Source organism: Homo sapiens, chromosome 8 (assembly GCF_000001405.40).
Source record: "Homo sapiens chromosome 8, GRCh38.p14 Primary Assembly".
Lineage (NCBI taxonomy): Eukaryota > Metazoa > Chordata > Mammalia > Primates > Hominidae > Homo > Homo sapiens.
In genome coordinates, this window is record NC_000008.11 from 1,646,280 (window position 1) to 1,667,129 (window position 20,850).

The 20,850-nt window shown below is 44.8% G+C and overlaps 1 protein-coding gene across 1 annotated transcript in view, besides 1 other annotated feature; it reads left to right on the plus strand.

Moving 5' to 3' along the window:
- The window catches only part of DLGAP2 (DLG associated protein 2), a 970,849-nt gene that overhangs the window by 908,652 nt on the left and 41,347 nt on the right, over positions 1-20,850 (plus strand). The gene's annotated exons all lie outside the window — the stretch shown is intronic.
- Positions 11,553-12,274: an enhancer, noted in NCBI's record as "OCT4-NANOG hESC enhancer chr8:1605998-1606719 (GRCh37/hg19 assembly coordinates)". NCBI's record gives its function as "activates a minimal SCP1, AML or CMV promoter by ChIP-STARR-seq in primed H9 embryonic stem cells {active_cell/tissue: H9 hESC(primed)}" and the evidence as "EXISTENCE:reporter gene assay evidence [ECO:0000049][PMID:30033119]".

Genomic DNA, 20,850 nt, shown 5'->3' on the forward strand with positions numbered 1-20,850 from the left:
TCCAGCTTGCCACTCTCCCTGCAGATCTCGGAACTCGTCAGCCTCATTGACGACAGGAGCCAATTCCTTATCCTCTTTCTCTGTATGTATTCACCTGTGTCTCTATTGTCTGTCTCTTCCTTACCATCTCTCTCTATATGTGTTCATCTATATCTCTATCGTCTGTCCATCCATCCCACCCATGTTCCATTAATTCTGTTTCTCTGAAAAGCCCCAACTAATATCATACCCTTAAAGGGTATTTTTTCAGGTTCTGTATTTAAAATGATCAGAGAATTTACTAAGAGAATTCTCACCATCAGCTCTTCACACTGGAAAACAATTTGAAAATTAAAAAGCTAGGTCAGAAACTTCAGTCCTTGTAGCTGTGTTGGGGGAATGTTCATTAAAATAAAGGCCGCTGTCTCAGTGTCAATGTGCTGTTTGAAAACAGGTGTCAGAGGCACAGTCTCTGCTGACAGGTCGAGGCTGGCACTGCTGGGACAGGTCACTAGTTAGGCTGGTGTGTCAGGAGTGAAGGGGGCCAGAGGGCAAACGGATCAAAATCCCCTTCTGGAAAGGAGAACCCAGGTGGGCTTGGAAAGCCAGCGTCGAAAACTTTTGTCCCTTCTTCTAATCAGCGTCTGTCACCACAGAGAAGTGATGGAAAGGCCAGAGAAGCGTCGGAAAGGCCAGGGCACAGGGCAGAGGCAGAGGTGAGCGGACAGTGGAGGAGGATCCAGGACTTCAGCAGACACAGGGCTCAGGCTTTGGCTCATCTGACAGCGGTGCCGGGGCATGGAGGCCACCACCATTGAAGGCCTGTGGACTGATGGTTCCAGGGACAGAGTCCTCTGTGAATTTCCAGCAGGACACTGCAGTGAGACTAGTGCAGACAGTCCCCCAGCTGGTTGCTGGATCTGGAACTGAAGTCTCCAAGCTAGAGTCCATGACCCCAGGGGAACCCTAGCGTAAGGTATTCATGAATTCAGGGCTGCTCACAGTTAGATGGGATAAAAAGTGTGTCTTTATCCTGGCTAACACGGTGAAACCCCATCTCTACTAAACAAAACACAAAAAATTAGCCAGGCGTCGTGGTGGGTGCCTGTAGTCCCAGCTACTCAGGAGGCTGAGGCAGGAGAATGGAGTGAACCCGGGAGGCAGAGCTTGCAGTGAGCCGAGATCGCGCCACTGCACTCCAGCCTGGGAGACAGAGAGAGACTCTGTCTCAAAAAAAAAAAAAAAAAAAAAAAAAAAAAAAAAAAAAAGTGCATCTTTATCTTCACTAACTTTCACTAACTTGAATTTACAATTTCCTTCCATTATGAATGCAGACAGCAGAACACATTCCTATGAGATTCATGCTAACAATATCAAGATAGCTTATCATCACTGAAGAGTTCTTGCAATGGTCTGGAAACACCACCCTCCCCACGCTTGAGGCTGCAGGAGCTGCCAGTCCCCTGCCGGGTCTCTCTCTCATTGCATGCCGGCTGCTATAAGGAAGCGTCATAGCCTGCCTGGCTTATGAACCCCAGAGATTTATCTCTCACAGTTATGGAGGCTGGAAGTCTGGGGTCAGGGTGTCCAGTGTGGGCAGCCTCCTTGTTCATAGGCAGCAGCTTTTCCCTGCGTCCTCACATGGTGGAAAAAGCGTAAGGAAGTTCCCTAGGATCCCTTTATAAAGGCACGAATCCCTCATCCTGCCCCCAGACAATCCACAAACCCACGGTCACAGACGTCGGTCATCTCTTCCACATTTCATGTCACTGCCATGCCCAAGGCCTGTGGCGATAAGCCAGATGAGTTTAAATTAACCCGTGCGTGTACCGTGCCACACCAGGCTCAATAAATATTGGTTCAACGTATGAGTGAGTGATTTGAAAATTTACAGTTGATAAGCTCTTTAATTCCTTTTCTATTGAGAGTTTGTCCTAACTTAGAGGACTCTGACGTTTAAGTTATAAACTCCACTGTGCTCGGCTGTTAGCCTTGGCATCGACTTGAGCCTTTTTCTGTAGAGTTCCTTTCTGAGGACAATACTTACTCAGGGGCACCCATGCATCCTTATCAGATGTTCTATGTGGACATGATTCAATTATCTATAACCGACATGTGCAAGAAATAACATTTTTTTTTAAATCAACTTCCATTCTAAGTTCCCACCCCTCCTGCGTGGTGTACTGTGAAATTCAGCCTCTGTCATTTCAGGTTAAACCCAAGGCAATACCAAAACCAGGACTCCCAGGAGGTTTGGAGGCATCTGGGAAGCCTCCTGGTCATAGGCCATTGGTCCCCTCATTGGTCCCCTCCGGCTGTTATGAGATCCCCAGGTCCCCTTCTGCATGCAGGATTCGCTCAAGTCTGCAGACCTTCCCTGGGGCATGATCAGGACAGGGGCCGTGTTCTGCAGCTGCTCAGAGACCCGCAGGTCCCCTTCTCTGGCTGTCATCATTCCCAGCTTCCGGCCTCTTTCCTCCTCTCCCTGAGCCCCTGGTCCCCTCAGTCATGTCTCTACTGAGTACAGGCTTTTGTGAAAGTCATGGTGATCTTTGCCAATGGAGAGGATATCGTGGGGTTGGCTTCCTCCCATAGAAATCTCTGAAAAGAAGAACCGCTGATCTCACTTGAAATGGGAAGAATTGTGGGGAAAACCTACAAATCCTATCACAAAGGTTTATTCTGCAACGTGAGTGGAGTGCAGGCGTTTCCCAGATCGGCAGCCACCACGAGGTCATCCTTGGATGGCGTCTGAACACATGTCTGGGGAGAGGTCCGGAGGGGCCCAAAAAATCATTGCCTGTGACGCTTCAAAATTTAACTTTATTCTCCAGAAAAGTAAAAATTATCCAGGTGTATACATTGAATTTGAATAACTGCCTTTACCTAAAGCTTAAGATGTCCAAAAGCCAATGCTATATATCAAAAATATTTTTAAACTGAAGCAAAAACCCAACCAGTAAATTCTTTTTGTTTCTTCAAAGCTACCAGAACACTCAATACCCAGTGTCTAAATTCTTTTTGCTTCTTCAAAGCTACCAGAATACTCAATACCCAGTGTGTAAATTCTTTTTGCTTCTTCAAAGCTACCAGAACACTCAACACCCAGTGTCTAGTCATTGCTATTTATATTGTCAGCAGTGGTGTTGGGGTAAACAGAATTTATTTAGGCCATTTTAATGTTCCCAAAATTAAAGCAAGAGATTAAATGAGAATGATTACTCTGAATTAATCTTTGAACCCTTTTTCAAACACCAAAAATGCAGAGTGCTAGAAATTTAACTGGCAAGTTTGGTCTATGGTTTTAGGTACTTGGATGGTGAGATCTGTATCACTACTGATATTTTCCAATGACATAGAAGGTGGCAACAAAATATAGTAAGGAAATAGTTATATAGGAAGGAAATATCTATGAAGGTAGGAAAAATACTCCTTTCTAAAATATTTAATTATATTGGATTTATTTCATCCTAACATAGGTATTAAGATAGAGGATCGTGCTGTGCTTTTTAAACGTAAGTCATGGGAAAGCTTTGAAAATCCCAGTGGATTCATCATGGGGAATATTTGTATCTCTATTTATTTATTTATTTGGTTTTGGAAGCCAGGAAGGAAAGAAATAAAGAATGGAATGATGGATCATATCAAATGTTACCATGAGTACAAGGAAGATAAAGAAAAAGAAAAAGATTCATTAGCTAAGGCAGCTGAAAGATCATGGTTGACATAGGCAACTGCAGATTCATGGAATTTCTGGAGAAAAAGCCCCACACCTTAAATATGCGGGCAGGTTACATTTCCAAGTCTTTCAGTGGCAGGATATGCTCCTACTCTCTTTCTGTAATAAAAACGAGTATTTCTTGTATCCATTTATTGGTTTACAGCAGGTCATTACTTTATAACCATTTCGATCAATTACACAATCAATTGAACAAACTCACAAATATGTATTTGGTACCTGATGTGTATAAGATAATGGAGAGGTACTTTATAAAAGGAAAGGAAACAGAATTGGAAATAGATTTAGAAGCTCCATATACATGAAGAGATAATCATGTTCAAAAACTTTTGTCCCTTCTTCTTATCAGTGTTGGATGATTATAAACTGTCCTATGATTCATAAAATAGTCAAAATTGCTGTCTCTTCTAAATATTGACAGCATAAGCTTAGATCTTGATGTAATTATAAGGCACAGGAGTGGTCTCTCACACGCTTATTCTGTGTGTGCGATAAAACGGAGGTTTTATCTGTGAGGGTATTCTAAAACACCCGTGTTATCTGGCAGATGGCGCTTAACAGAAATGAATTATTTGTCCTCTTCGGCTATTCCAGAAAAAGATACTGGGTGCTTTTCAAAAGATCCTCAGAATCTGCATCTGCATTTCTTGACCAAGAAGACAGAAGCTTGGGTGACAGTTGCTGGAGCAGAGATGGGAGGAGAGTAGACACAGAAGCTTGGGTGACAGTTGCTGGAGCAGAGGTGGGAGGAGAGTAGACACAGAAGCTTGGGTGGCAGTTGCTGGAGCAGAGGTGGGAGGAGAGTAGACACAGAAGCTTGGGTGACAGTTGCTGGAGCAGAGATGGGAGGAGAGTAGACACAGAAGCTTGGGTGACAGTTGCTGGAGCAGAGATGGGAGGAGAGTAGAGACAGAAGCTTGGGTGACAGTTGCTGGAGCAGAGATGGGAGGACGGTACGGACATTCCTGCCATTGCTGCTGCTTCTCATGTCTGCCTCCAGCATCTACCACCAAGAAAACCCCTGCTCAGCGGAATTTTGGGATTACATGGGGAATAATATGGGGAACTGTGCTAACAGATACGTGTATGCACTTTCTCAAACGTACCATCCAGCGTCCACATTCTGAAGATAAACAGGTTTACCAATTCTTTGCAAACACTCAGACACCGTATTTCTTCCTCCCCACCTCTGCCTCACAGCAGAAGGGCCAGGACTGAAGCAAGAGCCACACACATATGTGGCTGGAAATGTTGACCCACCAGATTCTGTGTGTTCTGTGTGGCCCTTCTTCACAGGGTGCCCTGAGCCCAACCGAATGAAGCGCTGGCCCCGTCAGCAGCCATGGTCACGTCCACTTGGAAGTTCCAAATCCCGAGGTTCCTGCAGAGAGCAGCTCTCTGCTGTGGCACCAGCTGCTGGTGAGGGATCCAGCTCCCCTAGTTACCTCCCCCATCACCAAGAGACTGGAAGTTCCTGGCATACAACATAGGCTGAGATCCTCAACTGAGCTGCTTCTCTAAAGCAGGGGCAGCGGGCATAGCTCCAGCACATGGCGGCTGGGGCGTCCATCCCTTCTGGAATATGCCCTGCCATGACCACCCCACTCCTGCCGGGCTCCTGCCTGGCCCACAGCTCCAATGGCTTAAGCCCCTAGCTCCGTTCTCTGCGTTCACAAAACCACCACAGGCTGTGTAGCCCTCCCCATGTGAAATAACAGGGGAAGATGTCTGACTTACAAGGCAACTGCCAGGCAGCAAAAATCCTTCTGATCGTATTTTCCATCTGGGTATGTGCTCATCAGAAGTAAATTTGAAAAGTTAAAAAAAAACGAAGTGATGGAGGGACACAGTCTTGTGTGTGACCACCCGAGGCAAGCCCCGCCTGCACCTCTGGTCAGACATTCCTCAGCGCCAGCCAGCCTTTGCATGAGGCAGCACTCAGAGCCTCGTCAGAGCCGGGCTGGGCAGGCAGCCTGCCCCAGGCACCTACACAGCTCGTTTCTGCAAGCCCCACTTGCCCAGTGAGGCTTTCTCTTTTTCCTTGAGAATTAAGTTGGTTTTTTTCTGGTCATACACTCTTTAACATGCAGGTGTAGAATTAAGAGATATTTGTGTTTCTTTCCTAAATGATTCCATAAACCTGGTGCTAAGGAACTATTACATTAGACCCTTGGTGTAGGCAGCAAAGGAGATTGGGCTTTACGCACACCGAGGTTCTTACGTGAAGATGCTAATGACATTCCTCCTGGAGTGTGTGTGAGCCCACCACGTTCCTCATCCTGTTATGTATATTTTAGTAATCCATTCCATTCATTGTGAGTCTCTCCCCTGGCTAGAATATAAGTTCCACAGGGGCCGGGTTTTCCTCGCTGCTGAATTCCCGTGCCTAGAACAGTGCTTGGCACATAGTAGATAGAAATGTTTGTTGATTTATTTAGTGAAAAAAAGGAATAAATGAATGAATAAGAAGGATTCTCTCTCTGTGTGAACTACTACCTTAGCACTGCTGCCCACTTGCAACTAACCCTGGTCTTGTGCGTGATATTTCTGAGTTTCCAGGAGAGCAGAGACAAGGTAGAGAATAAAACCCTCTGTCAGGTCAACGACACCTAGGAAGTGGTAGGCGGTCCGTAGATTTTTGGGGACATGTACATGGATGAATCAGTCCTTTCTGTGCACTTATGTAAAACTTATTTTCATTCCTTATGGAATTTGCATCGTCTGTTTCTGTCATTCTTGAAGTCAGGGTCAGATCTTTATTTTAAAATAAAGAATAACATGCGAGACAGACAGTAATGAGACCAGCTGGCGAACCAAAATGTTATGAGCAGTTTCTGAAAAGCAAAGTAAATTGCCTCCTTGGTCTATGTATCATCCCATCAGCGTTCGTATCTCAAGGCTGTGCCACAGATGACTCATTGTGCAATTATCTTGCCAGCCTCTCCGGTCCATATGCCCTTTGCCTTGGGCCCATGAGAGTCGCAATTTCCTGGTGACCCAGAGGACTGTCATGGGCCTTTCTCTATTTTGTTAGAAGCTCTTCATTTTCAGGGTACCACTGTAAATGGGGGATTTGAAACACATCTATTTCGACGATTAGGATGAAGAAGGAGTGCCCAGTTGCTGCCAGGCCTGGAGATACTGTGGCATCGCGTTGGTTCTTAGTGCTGGCCCTGTGGGTGGGGTAGGGAGCCGACAATCCTCACCACGCAGATGCTGCCAGGCCTGGAGACACGGGCAGCACGTTGGTTCTTGGTGCCTGGAGACACTGGCATTGCATTGGTTCTTGGTGCTGGCCCTGCGGGTGGGGTAGGGAGCCGACAATCCTCACCCCGCTCACGGGGAGGCTGCAGGTGCCTGGGGTCATAGGGCTTCCTGTGGCGGGGCCAGAACCGAGCCCGGGTATCCCGTGGCCATCCCACACCCTCACTGCTCTCAAGGCTGCCGGCTTCCTGGCCCCACAGGTGTCGTTCATGCTCAGCTAGCTCAAACTGATGCTTACTGATCCACATAGGCTCTGGAGGTTCACAGAGCAACTTCAGTGCAAGGAGCCCTGATTTATTGGCAGGACCAACGGCAGCCCTCTGATGGGTCCGTCTCTCAGATCCGTGGGCAGAGGGCAAGTCAGGATGTTTGGGCTGTAAATTGCAGGGGTGGATTCCTGTATTTGCTTGGGCTGTGAACTGCAGGGGCGGACTCCTGTATTTGCTTGGGCTGTGAACTGCAGGGGCGGACTCCTGTATTTCCTTTTCCATTAGGGTCACCTTAAGATTGAGATTATGACATCCATAGTGTGGGTTTGGGACCTTCCAACCTTCTGATCAAGCTTTATGGGAGACGTTGACATGATTTAGGATATATTCATTTGACTCTGAGGTGTAAGTCAGAGGTAACACGGTCTTAACTCTTGTCAGTTGCCTTTGCTTTATTGTTTTATTAATTTTTTAATTGAAGGTCACTTCCTTATCCTTAGAAAGAGAGACATTAGTAACTTCAGGTATGTTAGTTGACGGATCAATGTCTGCGCACTCACTATTTGCCATGTGCATGGTAAAAATAAACTCTCATCATCAAATAAAATACCACCTACAGAATTAGCCCTCCCTTGAAATCTTGGTAGTAAAGATTTCATTCTGATACAACTTCAGTATAGATGTCATTCACAATTAGGTGTCCCGTGTACGCACATGCACATATGGAGAGACACACTGACTGTGAAGATGTGTAACAAATGCTACCTCCTGTACAGTTCACAGCATCTCAAAAAACAGGCCCACCAGCATCCTCCAGTTCTTGGTCTCTTCATTTTTCCACTGGAAAAATTATTCCTTTCAAACATGTTTTCATCTAAGAAGCTTTGCATTCTTAAAGAATTGGAACATGGCCGGGCATGGTGGCTCACGCCTGTAATCTCAGCACTTTGGGAGGCAGAGGCGGGTGGATCACCTGAGGTTGGGAGTTCGAGACCACCCTGGCCAACATGGTGAAACCCCATCTCTACTAAAGATACAAAATTAGCCAGGCATGGTGGCAAGCGCCTGTACTCCCAGCTACTCGGGAGACTGAGGCAGGAGAATTACTTGAACCCGGGAGGCGGAGGTTGCAGTGAGCTGCGATCACGCCATTGCACTCCAGCCTGGGTGACAAGAGTGAAACTCCGTCTCAAAAAAAAAAAAAAAAAAGAATTGGAACATAATTGTGTCCTACTTATCAATTGGATTGGGAAGGAGCCAAACTATGTTGCTGATATGTTTCTGTTTTTTGTGTGTGTTGATGTCAAATCATCCTAAAAGTCAGTGTGCGCCATCACTGATGATGCATTCCTTTTCTGGGTTATCCTTTAGTTTTGTTACCTGGCCCTTTGAACATTCAAAATTCTGTACTTAGAAACATGTGACTCTTCCGTTCACTAAACGTTGATGCATTCTCAGTGTTCTTCAGAAAATACAAGTTCTCGCCGTGTGATGTGATGTTCAAACCTTTTCAATGGAAACAGGAAGTGTCTCGAACAGCAGAGCAGCTGACATCACTTCATTTTACTGTCTACATGTTAAATGCTGGTGAGACTATAATTTCTTGCTAATTAACACATTCAAAATAGACATCTTTGCTGCTAGCCTATCAACGTTGCCCCAGAACTTGTGGGACCCACATAATTTCTTGTAACTTCAGGAAAACCATTGTGTGTATGCTTGTGGGATGTGACTTCTGTGTCCTGTCTGATTTATTCTTCTGTTTTGTGACTAGCATTAATTAAAGTGTCAAAATGGCTTTGATCCTCTATGTTGAATCTTTTGCCTTGAAAGTTTAGTTTGTCCAATATTCATTCTCTCATTCAGACAGTCATGGGCTTGATGACTGTAATTCCTTTTATGCTATCATCCTTGAAGTTCTAATTAAGAGAGTGCAATGAATGCAAGTGTGGCTGTTACATTCAAATAGAATGGCAATGCTTGCCATTCAAGGGATATTTTATCTTGATTACGTATTTGTGCCTTATACGATGGAATGCTAATTTTCAAATTCCCGTTTGGTTTGCAAATGACTTTCAAGCATTGAATTCAGAAGTGGTGTCCAGAATTCCAGGTGTAGAAGGATAATTAAACATGTGTTTAAAGCGATGATGGATTCACATTTGCGATTCCTCAAAGCCATGTGAAGTGTAGATTGTGGAGCAGTTTCTTTCATCTCATTCACACGAGCTTCTTTCCAGTAAAATGCTTTGGTCCAAAATCTCCTCCACGAGGTTGGCTAACCCAACACCTTGAAGACCTGAAGGACCTTCATGATCAGAGTCCTCTGCTTCATGTGCTGTGTTAGAACACTCAGGGAACTATGTCCAGACATGGCCTCTTCATGCAGGACATGTCCTAGACAGCGCTGCCAGCACAGCCGTCATGATGAGGAAGACGTTCCACGCTTAGGCAGGCCAGCGTGGTAGCTGCTGGCCGCACCTGACCATGACCAGTGGACACACAGCGTGTGCCGCAGAGGAACCCAAGTGTAATGGTATTTTAGGTGTTCAGATATTTTAGAATATTGGAGGCCAGGTGTGGCATCTCACAGCTGTAATCCCAGCACTTTGGGAGGCCAAGGCGGGCAGATCACCTGAGGTTGGGAGTTTGAGACCAGCCTGTCCAACATGGTGAAACCCCATCTTTACTAAAAATATAAAATTAGCCAGGCGTGGTACCGCGTGCTACTTGGGAGGCTGAGGCTGGAGAATTGCTTGAACCCGGGAGGCGGAGATTGCAGTGAGCTGAGATCGTGCCACTGCATTCCAGCCTGGGTGACAGGGCAAGACTCTGTCTCAAAAAAAAAAAAAAGTTTGAGCCATTTGTTGTGGCCAGTAGCTAAGTTATTGGTCAGGGCAGTCTAGAAAGGAGCCTTTCTGACACAACTGTGGTAAACCTAAGAATGTAGGCATTTTCAATGGGTAGCAGTCTCCCACCCCTTCACTCTGCCAACACTGCAGCCACCACTGCGTATTTGTCAATTGTGCCATCTCCCCTTCTGACAGTCCTTTTGACTCCAGATATTTGGGCAATTTTTTCAGAAGGGGTTTGCAAATGAGGTGGGCTCAATTCCAGATACATCTGAGGAAAGTCAGTTTTTACACACCTCTTCCCTGCCCCATTTATTCAGCTCTAACAGGGAGGGACCCATCCACCTGAATACATTTCCTTTAAGCATCAACACTCTTCATTTCATGCAATTTTTATGGAATTCTTCCTAAAACTTACTATATGTGTGGCTCTCTCCATCCTAAGTAGTGTGATTAACCTTTTCTTCGTGCCCCAAGTCATTCCATTGGCCTCAGAGTACTCAAGAGGCAAAGCATGTTACACAGTTCCTTCTGATCACAACCCCATTATTCTCAGAGTGACACCAACTTATGCGATCCCTGTGAAACAAACAAAATCCAAACCAATTCAGTAATTGAATTACAAAGCCCAGGTATGTTTTCATCTATTTCCCTGTAATTTGGAAGACACTTAAAAAAAATCATCAGGGATTTTATAGTGTTGTTTACATGGTAAAAGAAACCAATGCTAGGCTTTAAAAACCAAACAGATACTCATGCTTGGAATAGGTATTTTTTTTTTAAAGAAAGTAGTCAGGTCAGGTCTTCAGAAACTTTCAGTTATTAAACAATCATTTCTTCTTCTAATTTCAAAATACATATTTGATCACTTATATAATCCCATGTGGTTGTTTAGTAATCTCTGTCTCTGTCTTGATTCATCTTCTTTTTAAGGACGTAGACTAGAATTACATTGCTAAATTAAATTTTGAATTTTCAAATACATTTAATGTTTGACATACATATAGAAAGTGATAGATAACACAGCCTATAGCTCATAAGGATTAGTTGTGATAAACGCATGCTAGGCGTGCACTCACAGAAACAGAATGAAGACGATTATTATCACCCACACCATCCAACTGAATGGCTGGATATTTTTCTCTAATGTGTAAAATGCTTTCATTCATTGATTTTAATCTGTGGCAGCAAATTAATGTGGTCAAATGATCATTTTGAATTCTTTCTTTACTATTGTTTCCCAGCCTCCAATTTTAACTTTAATGAGCCATGTAGAGATTTACAATTCTATCACACAGGGCTGTACAGGCACAACAAATGTTTGTCAAAAGAATGGATTAATGAATGAATGGATGCAGTGATATACTTCCATGTTTCAGAAATCATTTCTTAATGTTAATCTCTATATCAAAATCATTTTATGTACTGCAATTTTTATTTAACCAGGACAACTGATAATTTTTAAAATATAGAAATCAAATATTGCCAATATAAGGAAAATATAAGTGAAACAGCTTCGTTGTCTGGGGTATAAACCCTGGTCCTTTTGTCACAGCCGAGAAAGAATTTACGACATGGACACATGGTTTTAGGGGGCGAAAAGTTTAATAGAAAAAGAAGTGAGAGAGAAAAGACTTCCTTATGCTGAGGGAGCAGATCGCCCAAAAGAAAGTCTCCCGTTTGCAGCAGAATGCAATCGGTTCTGTACAGAGGCTTGAGGAGGTGGTGATTGGCTTACATAGGGCCCAGGGGATTGGTTAGACCAGATGTGACATTTACATAGTTCGCAAAAAGACTGGCCCTCCCACCCTCGTCTTTTATTATGCAAATGAGGGCTCCACCCTCCACCTGGCTGGTTGCCATGATACCTGTATACCTGGCTTTACCTGGAGGCTGCCATGACACCCTGCACATACTGACAAGCAAAAGCGAGCAGGAGATGCCATATTGAATGTACCTGGCTTCCAGGTACAGCTGCTCCATTTACATATGAAAGCTCCTAGTCTGCATATCTATGCCTGACTTCTTAGGCAGCTTTCCCTTAAAGAAGAAACGGTTTAGGGGCTACTTTTTTATATATATACTTTAAGTTCTGGGATACATGTGCAGAACGTGCAGTTTTGTTACGTAGGCTATGGATCCGTCTGGTCCTGGGCTTTTTTTGGTTGGTAGGCTATTAATTACTGCCTATTTCAGAACTTGTTATTGCTCTATTCAGGGATTCCACTTATTCCTGTGTTAGTCATGGGAGGGTGTATGTGTCCAGGAATTTATCCATTCCCTTCTAGATTTTCTAGTTTATCTGCATAGCGGTGTTTATAGTATTCTCTGATGGTAGTTTGTATTTCTGTGGGATCAGTGGTGATATCCCCCTTAACATATTTTATTGTGTCTATTTGATTCTTCTCTCTTCGCTTCTTTATTAGTCTGGCTACCGGTCCATGTATTTTGTTGATCTTTTCCTGGATTCATTGATGTTTGGAAGGTTTTTTTGTGTCTCTATCTCCTTCAGTTCTGCTGTGATCTTAGTTATTTCTTGTCTTCTGCTAGCTTTTGAGTTTGTTTGATCTTGCTACTCTAGTTCTTTTAATTGTGATGTTAGGGTGTCAATTTTAGATCTTTTCTGCTTTCTTCTGTGACAATTTTGTGCTGTAAATTTCCCTCTAAACACTGTGTTAGCTGTGTCCCAGAAACTCTGTGTCCCAGAGATTGTGGGACACAGCTAAAGCATTGGTTTCAAATAACTTATTTATTTCTGCCTTAATTTCGTTATTTACCCAGTAGTCATTCAGGAGCAGATTGTTCAGTTTCCATGTAGTTGTGCGGTTTTGAGTGAGTTTCTTAATCCTGAGTTCTAATTTGATTGCACTGTGGTCGGAGAGACTGTTTGTTATGATTTCCATCCTTTTGCATTTGCTGAGGTGTGTTTTACTTTTAATTATGTGTTTGATTTTAGAGTAAGTGTGATGTGGTGCTGAGAAGAATGGGATATTCTGCTGATTTGGGGTAGAGAGTTCTGTAGATGTCTATTAGGTCCACTTGGTCCAGAGCTGAGTTCAAGTCCTGAATATCCTTGTTAATTTTCTGTCTCATTGATCTGTCTAATATTGACAGTGGGATGTTAAAGTCTCCCACTATTATTGTGTGGGAGTCTAAGTCTCTTTATAGGTCTCTAAGAACTTGCTTTATGAATCTGGGTGCTCCTGTATTGGGTGTGTATATATTTAGGATAGTTAGCTCTTCTTGTTGCATTGATTCCTTTACCTTTAGGCAATGCCCTTCTTTGTCTTTTTTTATCTTTGTTGGCTTAAAGTCTGTTTTATCAGAGAGTAGGAGTGCAACTCCTGCTATTTTTTGCTTTCCATTTGCTTGGTTAATATTCCTCCATCCCTTTACTTTGAGCCTATGTGTGTCTTTGCACATGAGATGGGTCTCCTGAATATAGCACACTGATGGGTCTTGACTCTTTATCCAGTTTGCCATTCTGTGTCTTTTAACTGGGGCATTTAGCCTGTTTACATTTAAAGTTAATATTGTTATGTGTGAATTAGATCCTATCATTATGATGATAGCTGGTTATTTTGCCCGTTAGTTGATGTAGTTTCTTCATAGTGTCAATGGTCTTTACAATTTGGCATGTTTTTGCAGTGGCTGGTACCAGTTTTTCCTTTCCATGTTTAGTGGTTCATTCGGGAGCTCTTATAAGGCAGGCCTGGTGGTGACAAAAAGCTCTCAGCATCTGCTTGTCTGTAAAGGATTTTATTTCTCCTTCACTTATTTAGTTTGTTTAGTTTGGTTGCCTGTGAAATTCTGGTTGAAAATTCTTTAAGAATGTTGAATATTGGCCCCCACTCTCTTCTGGCTTGTAGGATTTCTACTGAGAGATCTGCTGTTAGTCTCATGGGCTTCCCTTTGTGTGTAACCTGACCTTTCTCTCTGGCTGGAGGGCTGCTTTTCATTAAAGGAAAATTCTACTAAGATCTTTCACCTTTTCTAGCTGCCTAAAAATAATTTCTTAATAACTGCTGTATTATTTGTAACTTATTGTTCTGCTATAAACAATCCATTCAGAATGCATGAGGGATTATATTATATGCATATACGCCCACTGTAAGTGAGAATGACAAAAGCTATATTTAAAATATATTTTAAGTGCCTGTCCCTGGTCTTCACACACAGATCCCCCTTGACCTCTGTACTCACATGTAAAAATGCGTCTGGTATCTGCATACCTGGAAGTTTTTATGTGTATTGCTAAATGTTTCTTTAACTTCTACAGTGTTTCCAATTCTTTAAACGCTACAGGTCAGTTATTTCTATTAAAACTATGTGTTGGATTTCTCATGGGGTCATTAACAAAGGGACTTACATGGACAAGTGATTAATATTTTTAGGGGATTAAAAATATCCTACCAGGACACATATTCCCTCCTGCAGAGATGGCGTTTCAGATCCTGTGGTTGGTAAACCCTCAGATGATCAATCAAAACTTTCCCTTGGTCCTTTAGCTAAATGGCCCAATTGTTTTTGAGAGAACCTGAAGTTCTGATAACATAGTGGGCTTTTCCCCTTGAATGGTGTCACCGAAGAATACACGGCACCGTGATTCCGTAGCTAATACCGCAACTTTCAGCAACAAGGCTGCTGGAACCGGAATCTTGCACTTCCTGTCTACGAGACAGGGAGAAACTTCACCTGTTTCTGCTGGCAAGGGTTGGGGGAGGCTAGGGGACAAATCCATGTAAAGACAGCAGTGACTGGCAGTTCACAAGTGTTCAAGCTCTAGCTCTTTCCAAGAAAACGTTGTCTAAATAGAAATCCTTTTCAAAGCCTTTCAAGCTGGTTTTCTTCCTGTTCACGTTGGAGCCCCAGGAGAGCTCTCATTCTCAGCCTGCTGGGCCCAGCTTCTCCTCATCCCGCTGAGGTGCTGCGCCTCATGGTGGTGGGGGCTGCAGACCTGTGTGGTGCATGACCACCTGTTCTCCATGGCCTCTACTATGTTGACATGGCCAGTAGGAGCACTGAGAAGAGGCAGGGAGTAACATCACTGTTGACAAAAGGCCAGAAGCTGGGTCTAAGTTCTGCTGCTTACTGCACAGAAAGCCAATCACTGAGACAGCGAGTATTGCCAGGGAAGAAGGCTTTCATCAGATGCTGCAGGAAAGGACATGGGAGATCCATCTCAAATCCATCTCCCTGGCAAACTAAAATTAGAGGTTTATATAGCAGGGAAGAAATGTAACCATGTATGGGAAAACAGAAATGAGGGAGCTGTGAGGAAGAGGCGGCCACCAGGAAGCAGATGATGGGTTGGGCAGTCAGAGTGGATGTGAGGTCTTTGGTCTCATTGTCTAGATGCAGTGATCTGGTGAATTGGAGCTCCATGATGCTATCTGGGAGGCCTGATGGCTGCTGTCCTTAGAAAGGAACTCAGATAAGACAGATGTAACTTTCTCAGGTTTCAAGACTAGGAGGGTCAGTTTCTATGTTTATCTAAAGAAACCCATAAACATCCGCCCTATGGGACAATTCAGCCGGTGTCATCACCATCACTCAGCTGAAACAGAGAGCCAGATCTCCTGCAAAGCCCGCTGCTCACAGTATGGTGAGCCTGGGTGCTCTGCCAGAGCAAGACCACAGGGGAAGAACACGGTCACGCTCCTTACAGTATGGTGAGCCTGTGTGCTGTGCCACAGCAAGACCTCAGGGGAAGTACACAGTCACAGTCACAGGGCTGCCGCAAAGGGTCTTCCGCCCATAGGTCATGAGGGATGAACTGATGCTTTGGAAATCAGTGGGTCCCACACACCTTTCCTATGAACCAGGAAAATATATCATCAAGCCAATAAACAAATATTCGAAGGCCTCTTTCCCAAAATAATTTTCATTGATTTGGTATGATTTAAGGAATTGAAAGCCCATTTCATATAATCTCCTCTTACTCTGGCTTAAGCCCATTAGTTAATAGTCCCTTTAAACAGTTTGGGTCATGGAGTGTCAGGGTATAATCTTTAAAATATCTTCTGCCACCAAAGGCATTTTGATTTTTTGTTTTTAGGAAACCTGGAACCGCCATAAATCTTGCTGAAATAAGTGCCTCTTTCATTGAATTTTGCAGTGGGCAAGGATTCTGACGTGCACTCTTGGACCCGTCTCTTAAATGAGAAAACACTAGATCAGGTCATGAGAAATAAGGTTCTGCTATGTAAATGGTCACAAAAAAGAAAACTAGACTCATTATAACCAACAACTGGAGAAGCATCTGAATCTCAGTTCTACCATTTTTCTTGTGGGCTGATGTCAGGAAGAGGTTTAAGCCCATTCAGACTTCCACCTTCTCTTCCAAGATATGCAAATGCCAAGACCGCCTACCCCACAAGGTTGTTCTGAAGCTTAATGAACTGCAAAGTATAACGTGCTCCACAGAGTGCCTGGCACATGTGTGAGTGTGGGGTGTGTGTGTACACACGTGTGAGTGTGGGCTGTGAGTGTGTGCATACATGTGTGAGTGTGGGGAATGTGTGCCTGTGTGTACACGTGTGAGTGTGGGGTGTGTGCGCGTGTGTACATGTGTGAGTGTGGGGGATGCATGTCTGTGTGTACACGTAGTGTGGGGTGTGTGTGTGTACACATGTGTGAGTGTGGGGTATGACTGTGTGTGTACATGTGTGAGTGTGGGGTGTGTGTGTGTGTATACCTGTGTGAGTGTGGGGGATGTGTGCCTGTGTGTACACATAGTGTGGGGTGTGTGTGCGTTTGTACATGTGTGTGGGGGATGTGTGCCTGTGTGTACACAGTGTGGGGGGTGTGTGTGTGTATGTGTGAGTGTGGGGGATGTGTGCCTGTGTGTACACGTGTGAGTGTGGGGTATGACTGTGTGTGTGTACACGTGTGAGTGTGGGGTGTGAGTGTGTGTGTACATGCACATGCGCACTCCAAGGTGACTTTTCTTTCTCATACTGAAGAAATGAAGGGGTGGTGGCAAGTTTGCAGCTGCTGCTGGCATTTTCTTCTCTCCTTTGATGGTGGAGTCGGCCAGTGCTGTTTGGGGACCCGGTGGTGACAGCGCCCTTACTGTGCACCCGTCTTCGCCAGCTTCTCTGGATGCTTATCTCCGCTTCGTGGGACGCCGGACACCGCAGAGCACCCTCAGACAGAGGGAAGGCAGTTTCTCCAAGATCACATGATGACATGCTTTCATGTCTGAAGCAAGAAAGATTGATTTAATAGAACCAGAAAGAAGTGTGTGAGATTTCCCTGTCCACAGATTTTGCAGGAAAGGACCGAGAAGCCCCCCTTTCCCTTGCGCCCTGAGCGTAATGGTTAACTTCGACTCACAGGGGAGGTTTGGTCTGACAGCTGTGACTTGCCTGTGAGTCTGTGGATCCTGTAAGTGAAACTCAACTGCAGGGAGTGGTAAAAATCATCTCAAGATATTAAATCACCAGAGGAAAGCAGAGCAAAACAAGCGTTCCAGCATCACAGCGCATGTTTTGATTTAGAGGAAGAGAGAACGGCAGAATGGTCATTTGCTGTTTCTGCCAGAAGGTAAATAGTTTGAGGAAAACTCCATGACGCTTGTAAAGAAAAGAAGAAGTCAGGCCGTATCCCCAGAGCACTAATGTGACCAGTCGGTTCAGCCCCCAGAGGAGCCTGCAGACCGCTGGGGAAATCCAAGTAAAGTTTGCAGTATCCTTATGCCAGAGAATAGTGGTTTTGTTGATGACAACTGATCCACTGATACCAAACCCTCCTCCACCAGGGCTGCCTTTCTAGAGCTGAGGCTGTGGGTGCGGGCACAGCAGCATCAGCATTTCTGTAGGACAGGCCATGCCCACTGGCCTTCCCGTGGCAGCGTTGGTGCATCTACAGGACAGGCCGTGTCACCTGGCCCTTCCTGTGGTGGCATCGGTGCGTCTACAACACAGGCCACGTCTACTAGCCCTTCCCGTGGTGGCATGGGTACATCTAGGCACAGGCTATGTCCGCTGGCCCGTCCTACTCCTGCTTCCCAGGAGCAGCTCCATCCATCTCAAGGCACGGCCAGGCTCACCCCCAGGAAGCTTCTTTCAACCCCAGTCTCTCTCTGGGCATCCCTAGTCTCTGATGCTGCACCCTTGGTTCTCAGGACGGCCTTTTCAGTGTGATTATGGAGCACACTGGGGCCAGGCTCTTAGGCTCTAGATAAATGCTTCCTGAAATCAGCGAATCTTACAATGTTGTATCCACCAGTGAAGCTTGCCAGGCACTTTACGTCGGTGCCCAACGTGGAAGAAAGCCCAGGGTCTTCAGCCCCCTTATCAATGGTCTCTGGAAAACCCATATGGTAACAGCAACCATATGGACATTCAGTTCGACCTGGACATTCAGTTCAATATTGCAGCCTTGCTGATAACGGTGAAAAACAATACTCTTTCACAAAGTTCCAACCACAACTTTTACGAAAGTCAGTCAGTGATAATCCCTGTATCACTGCAGCACAGCTAATTGCTTCAAACCACGTTTTCGTTTTAGTGGTTTTGAGAACAACCTGGCAGGCATGTGCACACACACTTAGAAAGAGCATCATGTCTTTCTTTTGTCATCCAGGAAAAATCACTGTGTGTGCCCTGCCAGGTAGAGTGTAGTAAATTCTTCTTTTTGTACGCTGGAGGTGAACTGCTCCTTCTTAATCTGTTTGTTTTAAAAGTGTGGCATGCAACTACATTTTTACAAAGAAATCAGTTTAAAAAATCATTTCATCAGCCTGTAGCAAACACATTATAAAGTGAGAAGATGTGGTATGTGACTTTCCTGTGATCATGGAGATAAGTCATAAGCTGCCCCATACATTTTTTTTAATTTACGAGATATTCCATACAAGAAGGAAGGTTTACTTGTTTTGTGAAATTTTTCAGACTCTTTAAATTTTACTTAAATACACTTAGTGAGGTCTGTGATTTTGAACAGTGGCGACAGACCTTTGAGAGTAACTATGAAACACATAATGAGCCAAGGTGGGGATGAATTTGCATGCATTTGCTCAAATTTTCTGGGCAGGTCACTAACTGATTACTTCCTCCCTGTTGCATTTGCCTGTGACATGTTGTGACATGGTTATGACGCTTGATATGTGCCATCGTTCACTGCTTAGGTGAACCTCGCTGGGAAAATCCAACCAATTTGGCGTGTTTAATATCACCTTTCTGCTCATCTCAAACTTGCCAAAGAAAAATATAATAAGGCAGATGTCACATTTTAATCTATATTCCCGCGTCTCTCTGTTGCCTTTGATTTTTTACTACCCCTATTGCTGGGACTCAAAACTTCTTCGGAATCAATATTTCTGCTTAAGAGAAGCAACGCAGAGCCAGCTTTGCCACTGGAGAGGTCATTGAGAGCCCCCGTCCGCAGTCTCGCTCCAGCGCGCAGCGGACACCGGGCCTGCCTTCGGCCAGAGCCGTAGAATCTGAAGACGTGTCATTGATGATAAAGATTCTGTTTTCTGTAAATGACCCATGACAAATGGGTTACCATGAAAACAGCCGCCTACTCTCCAGGGCTGTCACGTGGAAACCCCTTTATCGATGAGCCCTCCTCACATCTCCACCCGCGGGCTCTCTGACCATGTGTCCATGTCGCACTCAACACCCTTGATAAATCAGCGCTGTGAAACACTGCCAGGAAAGGCGTCATCAGAAGCAAGTGTTTAAACGGACCTCATCCCTGCCAAGGTGAGATGAATGTGCAGTCCCCAACGCGTCCCACCCGGAAAAACGAAATATTTCCTAACCCAGGTCTCTCCCCGGCACTACTGGCCTTTGGGATGGAGAAGTCTTGGGAACTTTCTGAGTCTCCTAAATAGTGCCTTGAATCTTGTCAGTTTTCAATAATTTTGCTTAAGGCATTGATTGACGTTAGAGGGAAAAGTCAGGAACAAAAGAAAAAAAGACAGGATTTTGAATGTTTGTCTGGTAAAAGAGAAGCTCAGCACCCGATTGATTTCATAACATCTGATCATCCTTCCTCAGTTTTCTAGGCTTCAGATTCTCTTTCCAATGCATGCTTTTTACAAATGTATCCACTTTGGGCTGGATGTGGTGGCTCACACCTGTAATCCCAGTACTTTGGGAGACCGAGGTGGGTGGATCATCTGAGGTCCTGAGGTCAGGAGTTTGAGACCAGGCTGGCCCACATGGTGAAACCCTGTCTCTATTAAAAATACAAAATTTAGCCAGGTGTGGTGGCAAGCGCTGTAATCCCAGCTACTCGGGAGGCAGAGGCAGGAGAATCGCTTGAACACAGGAGGCAGAGGCTGCAGTGAGCTCAGATCGCCCCACTGCACTCCAGCCTGGGCAACAGAGAAAGACTCCATCTCAAAAAAAAAAAAAAGTCTCCACTTTGTAAATGTTAATATGTAACATTATGCCTTAAAGCACAGGTCATCCTGAATGGCAGGCTTGTTTTGTCGTTTGTCCTTGTTAACTCGGGATGACATTAGAGGTCAGAGTGGATTAGGAAAATCCACTCATGGGTTAAAAATGATTGGAGGAGGTGAGGGATGGGAAGTGTCCTGCAGACACAGAAAGGATGTGTTTCCACCTGCAGCAGCCGGCAGCTGCTCTCGGGCACCGTGTCTGGACATCCTTGGGGAAAACTGCTGCTCGGTCTGTCCTCACAGACGGCGCTCAGACCCCTCCAGGAGACGCCCACGTGCGCACTCACCTACGTCACAAGCAGCCTGGCAGTGCCTCCCACTGTGTGTGTGTGGCAGGGGTGGGGTGGTGGTTGCTTTGCACTCTGATGAGGGGAGCAGATTCCCTTCAAG